Source organism: Homo sapiens, chromosome 2 (assembly GCF_000001405.40).
Source record: "Homo sapiens chromosome 2, GRCh38.p14 Primary Assembly".
NCBI lineage: Eukaryota > Metazoa > Chordata > Mammalia > Primates > Hominidae > Homo > Homo sapiens.
The window spans coordinates 232251987-232270957 of NC_000002.12; the positions used below are offsets into that span (position 1 = coordinate 232251987).

The following is an 18971-nucleotide window of genomic DNA, read 5'->3' on the forward strand; positions in this document are numbered from 1 at the left end:
AGATAATCCAATACAGAAAGAAGTGAAGGAATCACTTAGATCAGGGCTGGCAGACTTTTCCTGTAAAGGGCCAGATAGTCAGTATCCCTGTCACAGCTACTACACTGTCCTTCAGGTCTGTCTTAAAGAAGATGCTAAGTGCCAGGTGTGGTGGCTCATGCCTGTTATCCTAGCACTTTGGCAGGCCGAGGCAGGTAGATCGCTTGAGGTCAGGAGTTCAAGACCAGCCTGGCCAACATGGTGAAACCCCATCTCTACTAAAAGTACAAAAAATTAGCTGGGCCTGGTGGCGGGCACCTATAATCTCAGCCACTTGGGAGGCTGAGGCAGGAGAATCACTTGAACCCGGGAGGTGGAGGTTGCGGTGAGCTGAGATCGTGCCATTGCACTCCAGCTTGGGCAGTAAGAGTGAAACTCCGTCTGAAAAAAATAAAAGAAAAAGAAAAAGAAGAGGACGCTAAGCTGGATCCTCTCGTGGGCTTCTACATTCTGTCTGTTAGAATCAGTTGTTTTGGTTGATGTGTAGATATGTAGCTGGAAAAGAAAGGAGCATTTTAATAACTTTTTCAGATAATTGTGGCTATTCATTTTTGTACTACACCAAACTTTAATAGTTTCTCAAAAGTTGGTTGGGCCAGGCACAGTGGCTCACGCCTGTAGTCCCAACACTTTGGGAGGCCGAAGCGGGCAGATTGCTTGACCCCAGGAGTTCGAGATCAGCTTGGGCAACATATTGAAACCCTGTCTCTACTAAAAACACAAAAATTAGCCAGATGTGGTGGCATGCGCCTGTAGTCCCAGCTACTCAGGAGGTTCAGGTGGGAGGATCACCTAAGCCTGGGAAGTCAAGGCTGCAGTGAGCCATGATCACGCCACGCAATCCCAGCACTTTGGGAGGCTGAGGCAAGAGGATTGCACAGCCTGGGCAACATAATGAGACCTTGTGTGGATGAAAAAAAATAAAAAACAGACACCAGAGAGTGAGCTCTCTCATCTCCCCAAAATACCCAAGTCTAAACTATAGTTTGTGTGTCAGTTGTTCCTTCAAGTAAAAATGGTGTTCCATAAAATGAGCAATCAGTTCACTTCACAACTCAGTTATGTAATTGCTTTTCCTCAAGACCACCAGCGTACCTCTACATGCAGCAAAAGTGAAAAAGACAAGCAATCAAGGGTTGAGACATCATAAAATTAATAATTTTTACTCCTCTGTCCAGAGCATTCGGTTGTTCGATACGAGTATGAGGTATTGGAGTGCAATAGCCACAGGTGTGCTTGTCGGATTTGCACCAAGGCAGCCACTTTACCCACGAGGGCTTTTGTGCCACCAGTGTAAATGTCAGCACGTGGAAAGGACAAACACTGCCTTAGTATTTTTATGAAAATAGTTTTAACCTCCTGGATTCCTGGAAGGGTCTCAGGGATCCCTAGGGGTACATGGACCATACCTTGAGAACCAAATGGACAGTTGGTGGAAAGTTTGGGGTAGATTAATATACATAGCACACAGAAAAACCAAGCAAATAAAAAGACAGTTATTAATTCCAGTGAGAATAAAAAGTTGTATAGAAAAGAAAAGTAACACTTAGTATTTATGTAATCATAATAGTAGATTGATAAAATGAATTCTGATCATTGTCATGTATTAGGAGGATTAAGGACTAGAATAGTTACGTGGGCATGGTGGGGGAGGGAGTGTGTATGGAAGAAAAAATAAATTATCTTCTGTAGTGAAAAGTTTGCAAATAATGCCTAAAAAAAATCAGGAAGTAGCAGACAGGTTATATAGAAAGTTAATATCCAAATACTCTTTTAAAAGAGGTAAAAGTAGTTACTCTTGGGAAGTAACAGAGAGGGATGGGGGCTGCTGTTTTTCATAACAATACTTTAAAACTATTTGAACTATGTATACTTTAATATTTTTATTGTGAAAAATTTCAAACATACATGAAAGTAAAGGGCACAATAAACCCATCCTCCCCACTTCCCAGATTCAACTATCAAGACAGAGTGTTTTAAAACAAACCACAGACATGTCATTTCGCTCATACATATTTTAGTATGAAGCTGAAAAAATTTTGGACATTTTCTTATATACCACAGTGCCATTAGCACACCTAACAGTGACTACTAATGCCTTGGTGTCATTCTGAACCCAGTCCGTAATAGATTTCCTTCCTTTCTCCCATAGATTTTCCTGAATTGGGATCAAAACAAGTTATACACATTATATTTGGTTTTTATGGCTCTTAAATATCGGGTTAATAAAAAAAAAGCACCCTTTTAAAGATTTTTTTAAGAGTTAAGAGGCAAACGCTATCTGAAAACAGAAGGAATTATGAGGACAGTATGCCAGCAATCATATTTTGGTGGGGGTGGGAGCATGCATAGGGGAAAAAATGAATGGAAAAAGACCAGTAGGAAATAAAATCGAATGCCAATAGCGGTTATGTTTGGGTAGTAAAACTATGAGTAATTTTTTCTACTTTTTTGTATTTTCTAATGTTTTTTGAAAACGTGTAGCTTTTATGTTTTTATAAATGCTTATTTTCGTGAAAGTTTAACTAAACAGAAAATAAAAGCCCATAGAAGAAAGCTAACTTGAGTCAACAGAAAAGAACTTTGAGTCTGAATTTTGCCTGCCAAAGTCAGACCCAAGAAATAAAAAGCTGCCCAATCTAATGAGCTTCTAAAATATGAGGGTCATAAAAGAAGCACTAGAAAGTGGCAAACTCTGTAACTCAGTTGGCCTCTGGGGTTTCTGTTGGAGGTAGTGTCTGGTGCCCAGGCCACTGGCATTAGGGACTAGAGAGCAGGTGTGAAGTAGGCACAGGATCCAGGAGGGGCTGTGGGCCTCAGTGCAAACCAAGCCAGATCGGAAGTAATGAGAGTTTGGACTAGAGACAGAGTTGTAGGGCAAAGCCCACTAACCACACTCCTTGTACTGTTGGTTATCCAAACACCCTGCCCAGACCAAGCGACCACATGAGAGGTAGACCTGGTTGGTTAGTCCTGGGATGAGTATCTCTTACCCACAATCAAGATGCATGAAATGAGAGGTCAGATTCCAGACTCACATCCAAGGGATGGTCCTTCCTCAAGACACTGGCAAGGAAAGCTTGAGTTTAGCAAGGGCTGGGGGAACAAAGTTCGGAACCAGATGGGAGGGTTAGGGAGCCAGAGAAGGCCAACGGGCAAGGGGTAGCCCTGCATCAAGAACCCAGTGATGAAGAGGAGGATCTCCGAAGCCTGTGTGGCCAAAGTCTGAGGCTGGTTTTGCATGCAGTGGTGACTTCTCTTGGCGTAAAGGTTTGGACTTAGAAGGAGTCAGAGCAGGGCCAACAGCATCATGCCACAGCTGCTGCGTAGCCACCAGTCTCACCTGGAGTTGAAGTGGAGAAAGCTCTGTATTTTTCCTTAGTCTATTGGAATGGCTTACTTTCTGGAGCAGGCATGGTCAGCTATAGAAAGATTGTTCCAACGTTTTCTTAACGCCTACTAAATTTTTTTTTAAACACTCACAAGAAAATCTTGGACATGTATGCATTCATTAAGCTAGTGCTCAGGCTTTTAGGTCAATAAACGCTGAATAATTTATTTTTAGCATATTTCTCACATGTTGGTTGTGAGAGTCTTATTCTCTGACTTAGTAACTAAGTCCTTAGACCTTAGAACCTTAGAATCTTAGGGCCAAAGATCAGAATAATAAAAGAAGGGTCTCACAATTGATTAGCTATCCTCAGTTTGCGTCTCCTGTGACATCCCTGCTGTGTGCTGTACAGGATTAGTCAGGACCTGGAGTGTACTATGGAAGTCGCCTATTTCAGCCATTTACTTAGGTCAAAAACCACGGGGTCATTCTTGACTTTGGTCTTTCTCTCATGCTACATCTGCATCCAGTCTGCCAGTGTGTCATCGCTGCTTTGCTTTCTGAATGCCTCCAGAATCAGCCCCCTTCCTTAACTACCGGCACTAATACCTGCGTCCAAGCTATTCTCTCTCACCTTGACAGATACAGTGGCCTCCTGACTGTCCTTGCAGCCTCTGCTCTTGCCCCACGTCATCTCCTCTGCATACAGCTGTCAGAGTGATCCTTCTGAATCTTAAGCCTTGTCTCTCCATTAAAACTTTCCAATCTCTCATTCACAATAAAAGATAAAACGCCCCCTTACAATGGTAACTTTTTCCTTGTTCTTTTCTGCCTGTCTTCTGTGCTGGAAATGCATAGACTCCAGAGTCTTCCTGCAACCAGCATCTCCTCTCATGTCCTGGAGCATTGCTGCTCACAGGAGAGAAGCTGCCTTTTATGTGTAACTGAGCTCTCTGCTGTGCTGCAGGCCCCCTCCCCAGCTCCAGGGACCTGACATCAGTCAAGGTTGAGTTTCCCCACCTGCCATCTTCTCATATCCTTCAAGCCTCTGCCCCTTCCTTGTAGCTGAGCAGATCTTTTCCTCCCTGCTTAACTCATTCCATTCTGAGAATTGGACATTGTAGAACTATGTTGTGTACCAGTTGGGGCTTTCTCAGCTGAACCTTCAGTGCTACTTGGGAATCCTTTTATTCGTCACTAGGTTCCAAGCCTTTTTTCTTCGGTTCCAACCTCAACCTTGCTTTCCACTCCTCTTTCCTTTAAGACCCATCATTCTCCCAAGTACCTTTCATTCCTCCTTCTTGGAAACGAGAGAGGCTAGCCAACTTCAACTGCTGAGGTCCCCCTTTCCACATCAAAATTTCTCTCTGCCTTGCCGCTACTTAGGAGGCTGAGGCAGGAGGATCACTTGATCAGATTGAGAACAGATCGAGACCCTGTTTCTAAAATATAAATGAATGAATAAATAAATAAATATTTGGCTGGGCATGGTGGCTCATACCTTTAATCTCAGCACTTTGGGAGGCTGAGGTGGGCAGATCACCTGAGGTCAGGAGTTCAAGACCAGCTTGGCCAACATGGTGAAACCCTGTCTCTACTAAAAATACAAAAATTAGCCAGGCATGGTGGTGGGCACCTGTAGTCCCAGCTACTTGGGAGGCTGAGGCAGGAGAATTGCTTGAACCCAGGAGGCAGAAGTTGCAGTGAGCCACCTGTGAAGAGAAAGCGAGCATTCTGCTGGGTGTATAAGTGGATTGTGTGCAATGGTGCTTCAGTCTAGATATTCATGCCTTAATCTTACTGTGTTCGTCTCTCCCTTTTTCAGGGGAAGCCTGAGCTTTGCTTAGTGATGATGGCCCTAGTGTGAGGACTGGGGCTTGTGGAGTAGCCTCTTGTTTGCTCTAGCCACCCCACTGCCTCTGTCCTCTGCAGTTACTAGGACCTTCCCTAGCAAGTTTGCGTCCTTTCCACCACAGGCATGACCTGCCTCTCTCTGCTCTCTTCCAGCCCGTCCTCTCTCTGCCTAGTCCTTTTCAGACACTTGCTTCTTGGCACCTTTGACTTTTCTCACTGCCGGGCTGCCCCTACTAAGGATGATTGCCCTGTTTTCGTAGCTCTAAGAAGCAGCCAAAATCCACTCCACCTCCCTCCCACCCTCCGTCACTCCAAACAGCCTGGTTTTGTTCCAGTCAGGAAAAGGTTTCTTTCTTCCTCATATTTTTTTGAACAAAATATTTTGCATACGGAAGCCCGGAGCTCCTGCAAAAGTGATTTTGTACCTAATTATTTAAGATTATAAGTTAACCCCACTTGCAGTTTTTTCAGCCAGAGATACATCTTAATGAAGTGCTGACATTTTTCAGAGGATAAATTTAAAGATACATTTGAATGGAACTGAATAATTTTCAAAGGAAGTGGTCATACTTCTGTATCAATATAGAAAGTTGATGTGTGTTTGAGACATACTTGGTTTATTTTACTTCATCATCTGCCTCTGTCTAATTTATGACCTTCACCTGAAATGGAATAAAAGTAACACTAGATTTTGGGTCTGTCTTTAACTGGATCTGGTCTTGGCCGCCACTTAGGAGTTTGTATGACTTTTGACAAGTTCCTGGCCTGTTTTCTCAACTGTAAAATGGGCTGAACAATGCACTCCTCCCAGATGTGTTAAGGAGATTTTAGAAGTAGTAGGTTTAAGAATACTCCGAGTGTTAGACTACTTCCGGTCTTACTTAGTACAGTAGGTAGGCCTTGAATTACAGTGCTGTAGTACATAATTATGTACTCCTTTTTCAGTAGTTTTTTCCCAGTAATACGCCTTCAGTCAGTGTTGGCACTGTATTTAATTTGACATTCTGAACAGTGGTATTCCAGAGTATGTGCAGTAAACTCACCTGCCTACAGAAGAGTGACCCAAATCCTGTGATTAAGAAAGAAAAGAGGGGCCAGGTGTGGTGGCTCATGCCTGTAATCCCAGCACTTTGGGAGGCCAAAGCGGGCGGATCACGAGGTCTGGAGTTAGAGACCATCCTGGCCAACATGGTGAAACCCCGTCTCTACTAAAAATACAGAAAATGAGCCGGGCATGGTGGCATGTGCCTGTAGTCCCAGCTACTCAGGAGGCTAAGGCAGGAGAATCACTTGGACCCGGGAGGCGGAGGTTGCAGTGAGCCCAGATCGTGCCACTGCACTCCAACCTGGTGACAGAGTGACAGAGTGACAGAGCGAGACTCTGTCTCAAAAAAAAAAAAAAAAAAAAAAGGAAAGAGGAAAGACATGATCTTCTTTATGAAGTGTTTTGTTTCTGAAGCTCTCCCTGCTGTTTCTACTTTTTCCGTGAAAAACTCTGTCCTTTTGTCTTCTGCCACTGGCTTTGGTTATGCACTGGGCATTGATGTGAATCCAGTTTCCAAATTGGAAAGTAATGAGGTGTTCCATACAGAGAGGCCTGCCTTACATACTGTGAGGTTGGCTATTCCGAGGACCCCCTCCATTTGGATCTTTGCTTTCTTGCTGCCTTTCTCTGTGTCAGACGACAACAGACTCCTTTCTTTTCTGCTTGGCGTCTGCAGAAGATGGTTTCAGGCCTTCTTTCCCTGGCCTAGTCATTTTTTAGTACATGTCAGGTGTGACTCCCAGAAGCACTGGACTGTGTTAAGGCATAGTAGATTCGGCTGCCAGAGGTCCCTGTGCCTGAGCAGGAAGTTCCTGATGGCTCTTCAAGCTTCTACCTCAGCCCTTCGTGTATTTAAAGAGAAGGTTGGGATGGATTTTCAGGGTTGCAGGCGTTAAGGAAGACGACTGAAGTGAAGCAAAACAGCTATGGGAAAGTGATCATCAGCACTGCAGTCTCCAATTTGGTGGTGTTCCTATGTGCTGTTAGGAAGGGACATCTTATCTATCTTGACTGATAAGGAAACAAAGTAGAGGTGCCCATTAAGGAAAAAAAAAAAGGAGCTCAAATGAACTGGTAGCCAATGCCAGCATAGGCGGTGAGCAGGCTTTGGTAAAGAGTGACAAGCTGCTGCTTTGGGCAAGTCTCAGGTAATCAATTTTAGGAATACCTTAGGATTCCAAGTGGCTCCTGGTCAGGGCCAGCAATCAGAGGGGTGAGAAGGAGCTACAGAGATGTGCTTAGAGCCAGGAGACGTGGGCCTGCAGGGTACAGGGGTGTCTGGGAACCTCGTGGAACTTGCTGCTACGTTTTATGCATAAATATTTCAGGGAGGAGGGCCTGGAGCATTCACTAAGTTTTTTTCTGTTTGTTTTGTTTTTTTGAGACCGAGTCTCACTGTGTCGCCCAAGCTGGAGTGCAGTGGCGCAACTTCGGCTCGCTGCAACCAACACCTCCCAGACTCAAGCAATTCTCATGCCTCACCTTTCTGAGTAGTTGGGATTACAGGTGCGCACTACCATGCCCGGCTAATTTTTGTTTTTGTTTTTGTTTTTTTGTGGAAACGGGGTTCCATTGTGTTGGCCAGGCCAGGATGCCAAACTCCTGACATCAAGCAGTCCACCCGCCTTGACTTCCCAAAGTGCTGGGATTGCAGGCATGAGCCACCGTGCTTGGCCAAAATTCACTAGATTTTGAAAGCAGTTCTTGACCCATGGCTTATGTGAAAGCAAATGCCCGATCAGGGTGCAGTGGTTGCCCTGTGCTGGAGCATTCACTAGGGAAAAAGACCGCAGACCCTGGGAGGCTGCAGACCCTGTGACCTGAATGCTGGATGCTGGAGGGAACCTCCAGACCACTTGTGAAATGTGAAAGAGAACAGTGGAATAGAACTGAAACTGACGTTCCCTGAGCATGCTGAAGGCAGACTGTACAGCCCAATGTAGACGCACAGGAGGAGTGACTGGGTTTGGAATGAAATGTAGAAAAGGAAGCAAGCTAAATCACCAGGGGAAACCCTTGAGACCACAAGAATGAAGAGGTCATGGCCCTGTCATTCCAGAGGAGGCTGGAGCAGCTCTTCAGGAAATGTGGATGTGCGAAGAGGACAAGCCTGGCTGAGCCTAAAAGGGGCTCTTCAGACTCTTCTGGAGACCTGCACATGGCACTCCCCACTGGGACTGTCAGGTGGTACCTGGAATTGACTCTACAGTTGCTTTTGCCCACAGCACACACATGCTTCCTGAGAGCCAAATTCAGACCTGCTTGCCACAGTGGAAGATTTGTGAGATTATTTGAATCCCTTATATCTTTGGATAGTGGTAGTTCTTGGAATAATATGGAAAGAATAGTTTCAGGATTTTTTTAAAAGAAAAGTTAAAGTCAGTGATTACAGATTCAAGATTCTTATAAGACTTTGCTCTGGATAAAAATGTGAGTAGTTGCCACCATTCTTTTCCTCTACCCCATGGCTGCCATTTTTCAAGAGTATTGATTCTTCCTTTAAGGGAGGGTGAAGGTACCAAAGTGGTCTCTCCAGCCTTTCAGGGCAGAAGCTGTATTCCCTGGAGGCTTTGTGGTGTGAACAGCACCTGGGCTGGGCTCAGTCCTTCCCCATGGGGAATGCCTACATACTCTTCAACTGGCTTTTTCGGAAAGCATTGTCTGAGAGCTTGTGAACAGAAGGGTTGGCTGGTGAAGAGCAAGGCAAGGGGGATGTCTGCAAGCCCAGGTTAAAAGGTAAAATGTTCTACTCTTGACTGGTGCTCCCTCCCTTTTCTTGCACAGAAAATACACTTCCACGCATTTATCCAGAGCTTTTCCATTCTCCTCAGGCCCTCAAACTCCACCTAGCCTCCTTTGTACTTTGCCTCATGCTCAACTACATAGATTGGGGTTCTGTGATAGTCATGCTCTCAGCTTCCCTCTTCTTCCCTTCAGGGTCTCCTGCCCTTTCCTTCCTTCCTTCCTCCCCACCAGGCTGGGCTTCCTCTGTCCAGGATGGATGGCCTCCATTTGGCCCAAGATCCCTTTTGTTCTCTTGTGTCTTCAGTCTTCCTTCAGTGCTGGTTTCTCTTCTTTACCCTACAACTGCCACACAGCCCTCTGTTCTGCTCATTCCAAAGCGCTCCTTCCCTCCTGTTCTTTTGGAAGTGGTCATCCACACTGGTTGCATTGCCTCCGCTTCCGATGCCCCCACCTATCCTTAACCTGGTGCTTCCCAGGTTTTTTCATGTCATGTCACACACAGAAGATGTTGCTGTTTGAGTAGCACCGGGGACGTGTGCATGAGGCTGATGGGAGGCCGAAGCTCTGGCTGCCCTGGGAGTAAGAAGAGCTAGAGCCCTCCTCACAGCGTCTCCAGAACCCATTTGCAGTACATGCCTTAAACCTTTGCAGTGTGACTCTGCCCCTGTCCTATATTTTCCTAAAATAGCCTTCATAAACACCACCAGCCAGCAAATGCTCAATGCCAGGAGCTTGTCTTTGTTTTCTCCTCCTTGACATCCAAGTGGCATTGGACATACACTTGCGGTTTAGAGAGACTCTAGGGCTGGACTGCCTGGGTTCAGTTCCCAGCTTTGCCAGTCTCTAGCAGTGTAACCTTGGGCAAATTCCTTAATTTCTCTATGTCTTAGTTTCCTCAACTGAAGAAGAGGATAGCAAAATTCCTACCTCATAGCATTGTTATGAGAATTAAATAGTTGCCATATGGAGAGTGTGAACAATGCCTGTCTCATAGCAATTGCTCTCTGAGTGCCCTGTGTTGTCTTTGAGTCCCCTTTCTTAAAGCTCTTTTCTCCTGCTTTTCCTAACATCGGTCACTCCTGGTTTTTGTCCTGTCTCTCTCAGCTCTCTTGTTTTTTCTACTGTTTTCATTCCCTGGCTTCTCTTCTCTCCTTAACATGAAGGAGGTGTTAGGCCAAGCAGCCCCACCTCCCCCAACCGCCCTTTCTTCCATAGACCCTTCCACCTCCAAACGGCCCAGGCCCACATCCGAATGCCTGCCAGATCCCCTCACCTACATCTCTCCCTGAACCTCAGACCTAGGAGTCCCCAAAATGTTTTAATGTCCTTTTTTTGTTTTAAAAGTAATACATATTTATTATACAAAATACAGAAAAGTGAAAATAATAAAATGCACCTCAGTGGTAATCCCACCGCTCGGCTGGCACCACCACTAAACTTGGGTATATCTCCTTCAAGCCCAGTGGTTCTCAGCCTGGGCCAGCTTTCCCCTAGAAGACATTTGGCCATGTCTGGAGACATTTTTGATTATCAACTTGGTAGGGAGAGGTGCTCCTGACATCCAGTGGATAGAGGCCAGGGATACTGCTGAACATTTTATAATATACAGTTCAGCCCCCTGGCCAACAAGGAATTATTCAGCCCAACAGTGCCAAGATTGAGAAGCCTGTTCTAGACTTCTGTCTCTACATATGTGCCCCAAATGGAAAAGTCGGAATGGGTTTCCTCTTTCTAGCCTCATCTTGCTTCTCCACCTGTGTTCACTCTTTTTGTCAGTGGCCCCACCTCCCCCTTCTCCCTCACTCCACATCCGAGCTGTTCCCAAGCCTGCAGAGTCCCTGTCTGCCACATTGTTGGCAGCTCTCTCCTCTACTACTCTCAGTGTCGACATTGATGCCCACTCACCGAAACTAATGAAAAAGCCTCCAGCATGCCTTGCCTGTGCCACTGGTGTGCTTGGGGACCGTCCATAGGTGTCCAGTGCCCATTGGATTAATTCCACGCCAGGTGGAGACTAAGCTCCCTGAGGGCAGCAGCTTCCATCTCTGATTCATCTGGGTGCCTAGCCTGAACCTGCCACCATTCCGAGCACACAGTCAGTGCTCAATAAATCTTTGTTGAATGTGTATGGATGAATGGCTGAAGGAAGAAAAACCTGAAAAACATTTGTCCTCACAATTCCCTTGTAATCTGTCCATCTTTGCAGATCCTTGATGAATGGTTTGGCCGGACCATCATCCGCTCCTGCACCAAACTTAGCTACGAGCATGCACAGAGCATGATTGAAAGCCCAACTGAGAAAATCCCTGCGAAAGAGCTGCCCCCCATTTCCCCAGAGCATAGCAGCGAGGAGGTACACCAGGCCGTCTTGAATCTCCACGGAATTGCCAAGCAGTTACGCCAGCAGCGCTTTGTGGACGGCGCACTTCGTTTGGATCAGGTCAGTACGTGTTTTTTTAGTGTAGCCAACAGATTTGACTCGTGCCTGAACCCAGCGTGGATGAGCGCAGCTTGGCAGGCTTAGACTCTTCCTTCCTTCTCTTTGCTCCAGGCACCACACTAAAATCATGTTCTCTGAGGCCGGCAGGAACTAACTCCCATTCACTCTCCAAATACAGGATATTATGCAAAATATTCTGTATTTTGTATGATTCCACAGGTACACGAGGCCTAATGACATGAGCCAAGGCAAAGAGTGGGTCTGTGTGGGTGGCTCTGACCAAAACCCCCAGCTGGTCTTCCCTGGTAAGGCTGTGTCCAGTCTGTGATCCTCACCTCAGGTCTCTACTCAAACCTGTTCTTTAATGGAGGCAAGAATAGGAGACACGGAAATTTAGGAGGCAGCTGACCAGTATCTGATACGAAGGCTTGGAAAAAAAGTATTTCTTCTTATACCTCATCTCCCAAAAAAGAGTTATTTGTTTACAAATTCCAGATTAATATCTGAAGATGCAGAGAACTGAGGAGACTGTAGAACAGCGGTCCCATTGTTTTGGGCACCAGGGCCCAGTTTCGTGGAAGACAATTTTTCCACAGACCAGGGGTAGGGGATGGTTTCGGGATGAAACTTCCACTTCAGATCATCAGGCATTAGTTAGATTCTCATAAGGAACATGTAGCCTAGATCCCTTGGATGCACAGTTCACAATCGAGTTTGAGCTCCTATGAGAATCTAATGCTGCCACTGACCTGACAGGAGGCAGAGCTCAGGTGGTCATACTCACTCACTGCTCACCTCCTGCTGTGCGGCCTGGTTCCTAACAGGTCATGGACCAGTATGGCCCATGGCCCGGCAGTTAGGGACCCCTGCTGTAGAACACTGGCTATTGAATAACATTGGCCTGGATTGTTATTGATAACTCTGAAGTCTCACAGCCTTGCTGGCAGCCCTCTGGGACTTAGGTAGCTGTCACTTAAACCTGCTTGAATTTCCATATCTGAGAGTCGGTAACTGTTAGGACCCAGGATTTCTTTTTTCATTGCTTGTCAGTATATTACAGAGGAGAGACTATGTTTTGTATTATGGACTTTTTTTCTCCTTCATTTATATTTCTCACCCAAACACTCCTTCCTTGCTTGTTGTGTGCTCTGGGAAGTTTCCACGTGTCTGAAATGAGGTGGGTAGGAGCGTGGAACTGTTCACCAGACCGCCTCATGCAGACTTCTTTCCCTGAGCCTGTCAGCTGGGAGAAATCTGAAAGGCCTTGCAAAGCCTTCTGATTGAAGTTCTGATTTTATCCTCCCTTTTGCAACAGACTTGCACAAATGCTTCTAAGCAGGCATTGCAAATAGGTGCTGCCCTGGGCCTAGGGAGAAGTGGCTGCCATTGGGACCAGTGGATGACCTGTCCTGCCTGTGTGTGGCAGAGTCAGGGTAGCCTCTGGAGTTCTCCTGCTCCTCCTTCCCCAGCCTGGGCTCGGGCAGCCTGAGCAGGCCTGTCTGCGTGAGAATGCTGACAGGGAGACAAGAGGCAGAGCGGATGCTGAAGAAGACAGCAGACATGGTGGAAGAGAAACTAAAGGCATAGGGGATTACAGAATACCTACTTTCCTTCCTTTAAGAAATCATTCATGGGAGTGTGAACACACTCTGTTTCTCATTTACAGGTGGCTGCCTGATTGTCAAGTCCCAGGACACTTTACAGTTCTTGCTTCTTAGACTTCTGACCTGCACCAGCCCCTTTGAAACCCACCTCCTGGTTCTCTGTTTCTCTTTGTACATCTCCAGTAATGTCCTGCTGGCCCCCTTTGCAGAAGCCTCTTCTGTCCACCACTTTAGGGTTGGCATTCCCTGGGATCTACCCAACCTTTGTTCTTTCTGTATCCATACTCCCACCCTGAGTGACCTCTTGTGATTCTAACTACTAACTGGATGCTAACGAGCCAAAATCTGTCTCTCTATCCCTGGCCTCCCTCCCCCAGCTCTAGTCCAGCCCCACAATATCTCAGCCAGTGCTCATCCTTCCCTCTGTAAAACGCAGTGATCAGTGATGCAGTAGGTGGCACCGGCTGTCTAGTACTGCCTTCTCCCTTGGCCCCCACCAGGGGAGTGGTATGTGTATTCTCAAACCTGGCTAGGCCAGTTGTACTTGTTGTAATTATGCAGTTTAACTAAATATCAGGGAAACCGATCAAATACGAACATAAAAAAGAAGCTGTTGTTTTTATAAAAACTAAGTTAAATGTTTTGGAAAGACCTGGATAAGGATAAGTCTTTAAAAATTCAGTTGTAAAACAGGGGATAATTACAAAATCCATTAAGCATTCTGTATTCAAATTGCTTCATAAATGTCTAAATTCTCATTCTTTTTAAAGAAATCAAATGGTAACGTATGAACAGTGAATTGTGAGTGTAGTTTATTCAGAAAAGACTATGTAGAATTCCGGTTAGCATTCCCTTTTTGAAAGCCTTACATTTACAAAAAATTAGTGAATGAATATACATCTATATAAATTAAAACATTTAGTGATGGGTTTGTCTTCCTCTGTTTGATTCTCTTCTTTTTCTAACTTCTAGAATAACCAACCAATGGCTGCTGAAGCACATCACAGGAAAGTTTCTGTCATAACGTTTTAGAGACTTTACCCCACCAGTTTGTTGCAAAGTTCAGTTGAATTAAGTATATGAAATACTGTAAAAACTGTAGAAGACTGTCAGGTGATCCCAGCTCATATGAGGATAGGGTATAGTTGTCAAAATAGAAGAATGATCTCAGATTATTGATAGATAAAGATCTGTTGGCATGTCTCAGAATCAGAGTCTTATTGCTGAAAATGGCTTTGGATATCTGTCTCTATTGGCCTTCTCAATTTATCAGTTAGAGAGCTGAAGCCCCTAAAGGTTAAGTGAGTTGCTTATATGCAAGAAATTCAAATTGCCCTGTGTTCACTTTGCCTTCATTTACACCATGCTGACTTGAGAGAGAAAAACATTTTCCTTTTAAGTGGAAAGAAAACCCTCCGAAGTCCTAATTAGGTTCCAGTTAATTAAGGTTTGAAAATAAGGGCTTTGCACCCTTGGAGTTGATTCCTTGGTTCCCCCGAAAACAAGTCCATGGACCCCAGCTTTGGAAGGAGGAGCACATCAATCTCCCACAGCAAAGGACTCTGGTGAGGTCATTTATAAATCAGCTAAATGGCCCTATTCAGAAGTCACTGCATTTGTTCTCCTGCCCCTACTGCCTGCCTTGTCCTCACAAAAATCCATTTTTCCTTGGTGCTTTTTTGAGTAGCCTACTGTTTGGAATTGTTCTCTGATGCTTTGTTTGCCTCAGACCACTATGTCCGTGCTTTTGGTGGCAGTCCTTTAAAAAATAAAAAATAAAGTCCATTTAAGCTAGCCTCAATTAGAGATGAGTCTGTGCGAGGGGGTACCATTTATTTACACATCATGCCCTTAGGTTCAGAATAAGCGTGTAAACCACAAGTTTCACCTTTCCAAGAAGTCAGTTTACCATGATGACTTTCCGAATGAATGGGGGCTGAGTGTGCGGCACTAGTATGGTGATTGTTTGTTGAGTTAGGGACCTACTAGTTCAGAAGTCATAGCCTCAGAACTGTAGAGCAACTTGACCATTGTGTATTTGCAGTTGGCAACTTAGACCGGAGCTGCCTAACCCATGTCTGAGTTAGTGAGCCTCAGCCCTCAGGGCCACCTAGTCTGGCCCCAGTTCCATGAAGGCCACCTACTAGCAGTCTTGTTTACCCTAGTGTGCTGTCATATATTAGCATATGTATATACTAGTTCATATCCTAGAACTGTGGTGGGAAACAGATAGGGAAGCACTGCCTTCCAGGTGGGATTACCTGCTCCAAATGTCTCCTTTACCTACAGTTCAACCTAGTTCTAAAGAGGTTCTAGGTACATGAATGACTCCTTTGTTTCATTGCTTAGAAAGCAAATGCAGATACCAAATGCATTCTTGTGCTTTTTGGTTGGATGGGTTGAGTAATACCCCTTCCAGGTAGTTTCTTCTATCTCCATGTTTTCTGCTGCTAAGTTAATTCTTGGACTTAACATAGATGTTTGTTTTATTTTATTTATAACATATGTCTCTCATTTCTGAAAAGGGAGCTCCCATAACAGGGGCCCAGACTTTTTTATGTTTGTAGTAAAAGGAATCATAATGCTTTATAATCATATCCAAATCTTGAGCTTTGGGAGAAGGGGAACTGTGGGAAGTTTGCTCTCTGCCTGGTTCTTGCTCAGTGATTCAGGCCCAACTAATAGACTTTGAGAGTAGGGGTCACAGAGTCCCCTGGCACTTCTGCTTCTTGGGACACGAAGCCTGTTCTCAGGCACCTTCCCACTTAGGTCCTTTACAGAGACTGCCTGACTATAATGTGAAGACAAGGCCTCAGGCTTCTTAGCCATGGCATTCAGAAAAGATACCAAGGGAGGGTGGCAGGTGCCAGAAGAATCCCATTATGAAAGTGTCTTGGGAATATTGATTGATTTTTAGGAAGCTACACCTACTGCCTGCTGGGGTTCTCTCTCTAGCCTCTTCCTCATCAGTCAGGTGGCAGTACCCAGAAGCCACTCTGTTTGAGGGCTTCCATGTAAAATAAGCATGAGGTTTGCAGGAAGCTGTGCACCATCATGGGTCCCCTGACAGGTGGTTAGGTGATGTGAGCAGTTCCTTCTGGGTCACTGACTTTGGGAATTCAGAGGAAGTTGAAGTAGTGGTGGAGAAAACCTGATGTTACCATCTTCCCAGGCAAATTACTCTCAACTCCAGGAGCTTCACAACTGCATCTTGTATAAATCCTACTTGGTGCAATTTTGAAACCCAAACTGCAGGCAGTTTCTTTGAGTGGACTTGATTGTAAAGATAGCCTTGTTAATGGAAATTATTTTTAAATACCCTGGGACCCAAGCTGCAGTGGAATGCTGTTATGTATGACCTTGACCTGTTCCAGCCTTTAAGGCAGGGATTGACGGATATTTTCTGTAAAGGACCAGATAGTAAATGGTTTAGGCTTTGTGGGCTGTGCAGTCTCTGTCTCTGCTACTCAACTCTGCTGTTGTAGTGTGAAAACACCAGCGTTGCTTTAAATGGATAAATGTGGCTGTGTTTCAACAAAACTTTAAGAACACTGAGATTTGAATTTTATATAGTTTTCACACATCACAAAATATTGTTCTTCCTTTGATTATTTTTCAGCCATTTAAAAATGCATAAACCAGTCTTAGCTCATGGGTCATACAAAAGCAGGTTTGGCCTGTGGTCCATACTTTGCTGACCTCTGCTTAAACAGCCAGCTAGCAATTCAGCCCTGCTATCCAGTGAGCTTTTAGCAGCTCATCATCACTTCACAGGGAAGCCAGGCTGGGTAATGGAGAACAGTCGTGCTAAGTTAACTCTCAGGATGGCTTCATGCAATTAGGTAAATTATTCCTTTGATTAGTACCATGCTTATCCAGTCCAATGGGAGGTGGGGAGTAGAGGAATGAATCAGTTTAGCATCAGTTCCCTTATTCCATTTACAGGCAGGTCGCTTTAATTAGCCTGAAGCAAAAGGAGCAGGGGTTCTCATTTCCCACTTCTGCAAGCTCAGCAGCTCTTCACAGTCAGGTCTTCATCCCACCCAAGCCCACTTGCAGAGATGCTGGCTCTGCCTCGTGTAGGTGCGCTGAAGGTGGGGACTGCTCATGGCAAAATGTAGCGCTAAGGAAACTGTGTAGCATTTCTCCCCCACACTGCCCCCATTGCCAAATGTAGCTGTATGTTTTGTTGAATCTGTTTCTGTTCCTTCTCTCCAATACAGTCGCTTTCAAGAAATGAGCATTCCAGCTCTGCTGTTTAATATTTGTACCATATATTTGATCCAAGGTAGGAAGGATGGGTACATTTATCCTGTCTGGCTCTTCCTTGGTCTTATTATTTATGTTGTCACTTAAACACACGAGGAAGCTATTGATCACAGGGTTGAGTATATTTGTAGAATCATTCTGTTTTCTTAGTCGTAGAGCTTTTCTATAAATAATATAGGAAAATAATGAGAGAGCCAGCAGGCCACACAGAAAATGTAAAGTGATGTGACAGAACTCTGCCCATAGTGCAGTGAGCTGTCTTGGAGAGGACCAGCTCAGTCTCAGGGGTTCAGGGAAGATTTTCCAGCAGAAGTAGTGGGGCATTAGGCCTTCTAAAAGACTTGAGGGTCTAGCCAGGCTGCAAAGGCAAGCAGACTGCTGGTACAAGCATGGGAGGGATGAGAAATGGCAGATTGTTCCAGGGTGTGTGGTGTAGGGTGCAGAGAGAGAGAGGAGCTAGAGGAGACACAGGCTAGGCCTTGGAGTCTGTAGGAATGAACCAGGGCAGCTATGGAATGATTTTAAATATGTAAGTGACATGAGCAGAACTGGGTTTTAGAAAGAGCCTCCCAAAAGTGAATAGAATAGAGGAAGTTTATAATCCAAGAGAGAAATGATGAGGGCCTAACCTGAGGTAGGGACCGTGGGGTGAGAGAAGATGATGGACCGACCCAAGAGAGGGAAGAAAATCGACAAGCCTGTAGCAAATTGACTCTCTTGATTAGATGCGGAGGGGAGGGGCAGGATCAGAGGCTAGGGATCAGGGAATCAGGTTTCCAGTTTAGGCACATGGTAGTACCACCTGGGGACACCACCGTGGTGGAGGTCGAGAAGAGAGATGATGATTTCCATAACTAGGCCTCTCCGGTCCCCTCTTCTTCCTTTAGGAAGGAAGCTTTATCATAAAAGTAATATGTTCTCATGTTAGAAAATTTAGAAAATACAAGAATATAAAGAAAAAATCATAATCACCTATAGTCCCATCACCCAGAAATAACCATGGTTAATATTTTGGTATAATTCCTTGTGCATTTGCCCCTTATCACTTCATAGCAGGAGGGAAGGGTGTCTAGCATAACATATGTATAGTTTTTATTTATATTCTGCTCTTAAATATTACCTAATGAGTTTTTCCTATGTCATTAAAAAATCTTCTAAAACATTATAATACCTACATAATATTCTGTCATATGAATATACTCTTAAACATTCAGCCACTCCCCAATTTTGAATATTTAAATTAGATTCTGATTTTTTTGGTACTACAAATAATAGTACCATGGCCATGGCCATCTGTGTTCGTAAATCTTTGACCTGATCTCTGATTATTTTCTTAGGACAGTCTTAGAACTGTGATGACAGCATCAAGGATATGGATATATTTAAGATTAATACTGAAACATATTGCCACATTCCCTTCCAGAGAGGTTGTACCAATTTATACTCCTTCAGTAGTATGTGAATCAGGGTACCTTAGATGGAAACATCTGTCAGGAGTTCTCTGCCTACACGGAGCTCTGGCGCACTCGCGCGCTCTCTTTTTCTCGTCTCTCTCTCTCTCTCTCTCTCTCTCTCTCTCTCTCTCTCTCTCTCTCTCTCTCTGTCTCGTCTCTCTCTCTCTCTCTCTGTCTCTCTCAGGTGTCT

General features: G+C 44.9%; 1 protein-coding gene across 4 annotated transcripts in view; it reads left to right on the forward strand.

The window, feature by feature from the left end:
• The window catches only part of DIS3L2 (DIS3 like 3'-5' exoribonuclease 2), a 382638-nt gene that overhangs the window by 290274 nt on the left and 73393 nt on the right, over positions 1-18971 (forward strand). For 3 of the 4 annotated variants that reach the window (NR_046477.2, NR_046476.2, NM_152383.5), the window contains one exon: positions 11221-11454. Coding sequence is in view for 2 of the 4 variants with exons in the window: in NM_152383.5 (NP_689596.4) it covers positions 11221-11454 (234 nt within the window). In the remaining 2 variants the exon portion in view is untranslated. The remainder of the gene's footprint in view (positions 1-11220; positions 11455-18971) is intronic. The other variant, NM_001257281.2, reaches the window with a different exon arrangement.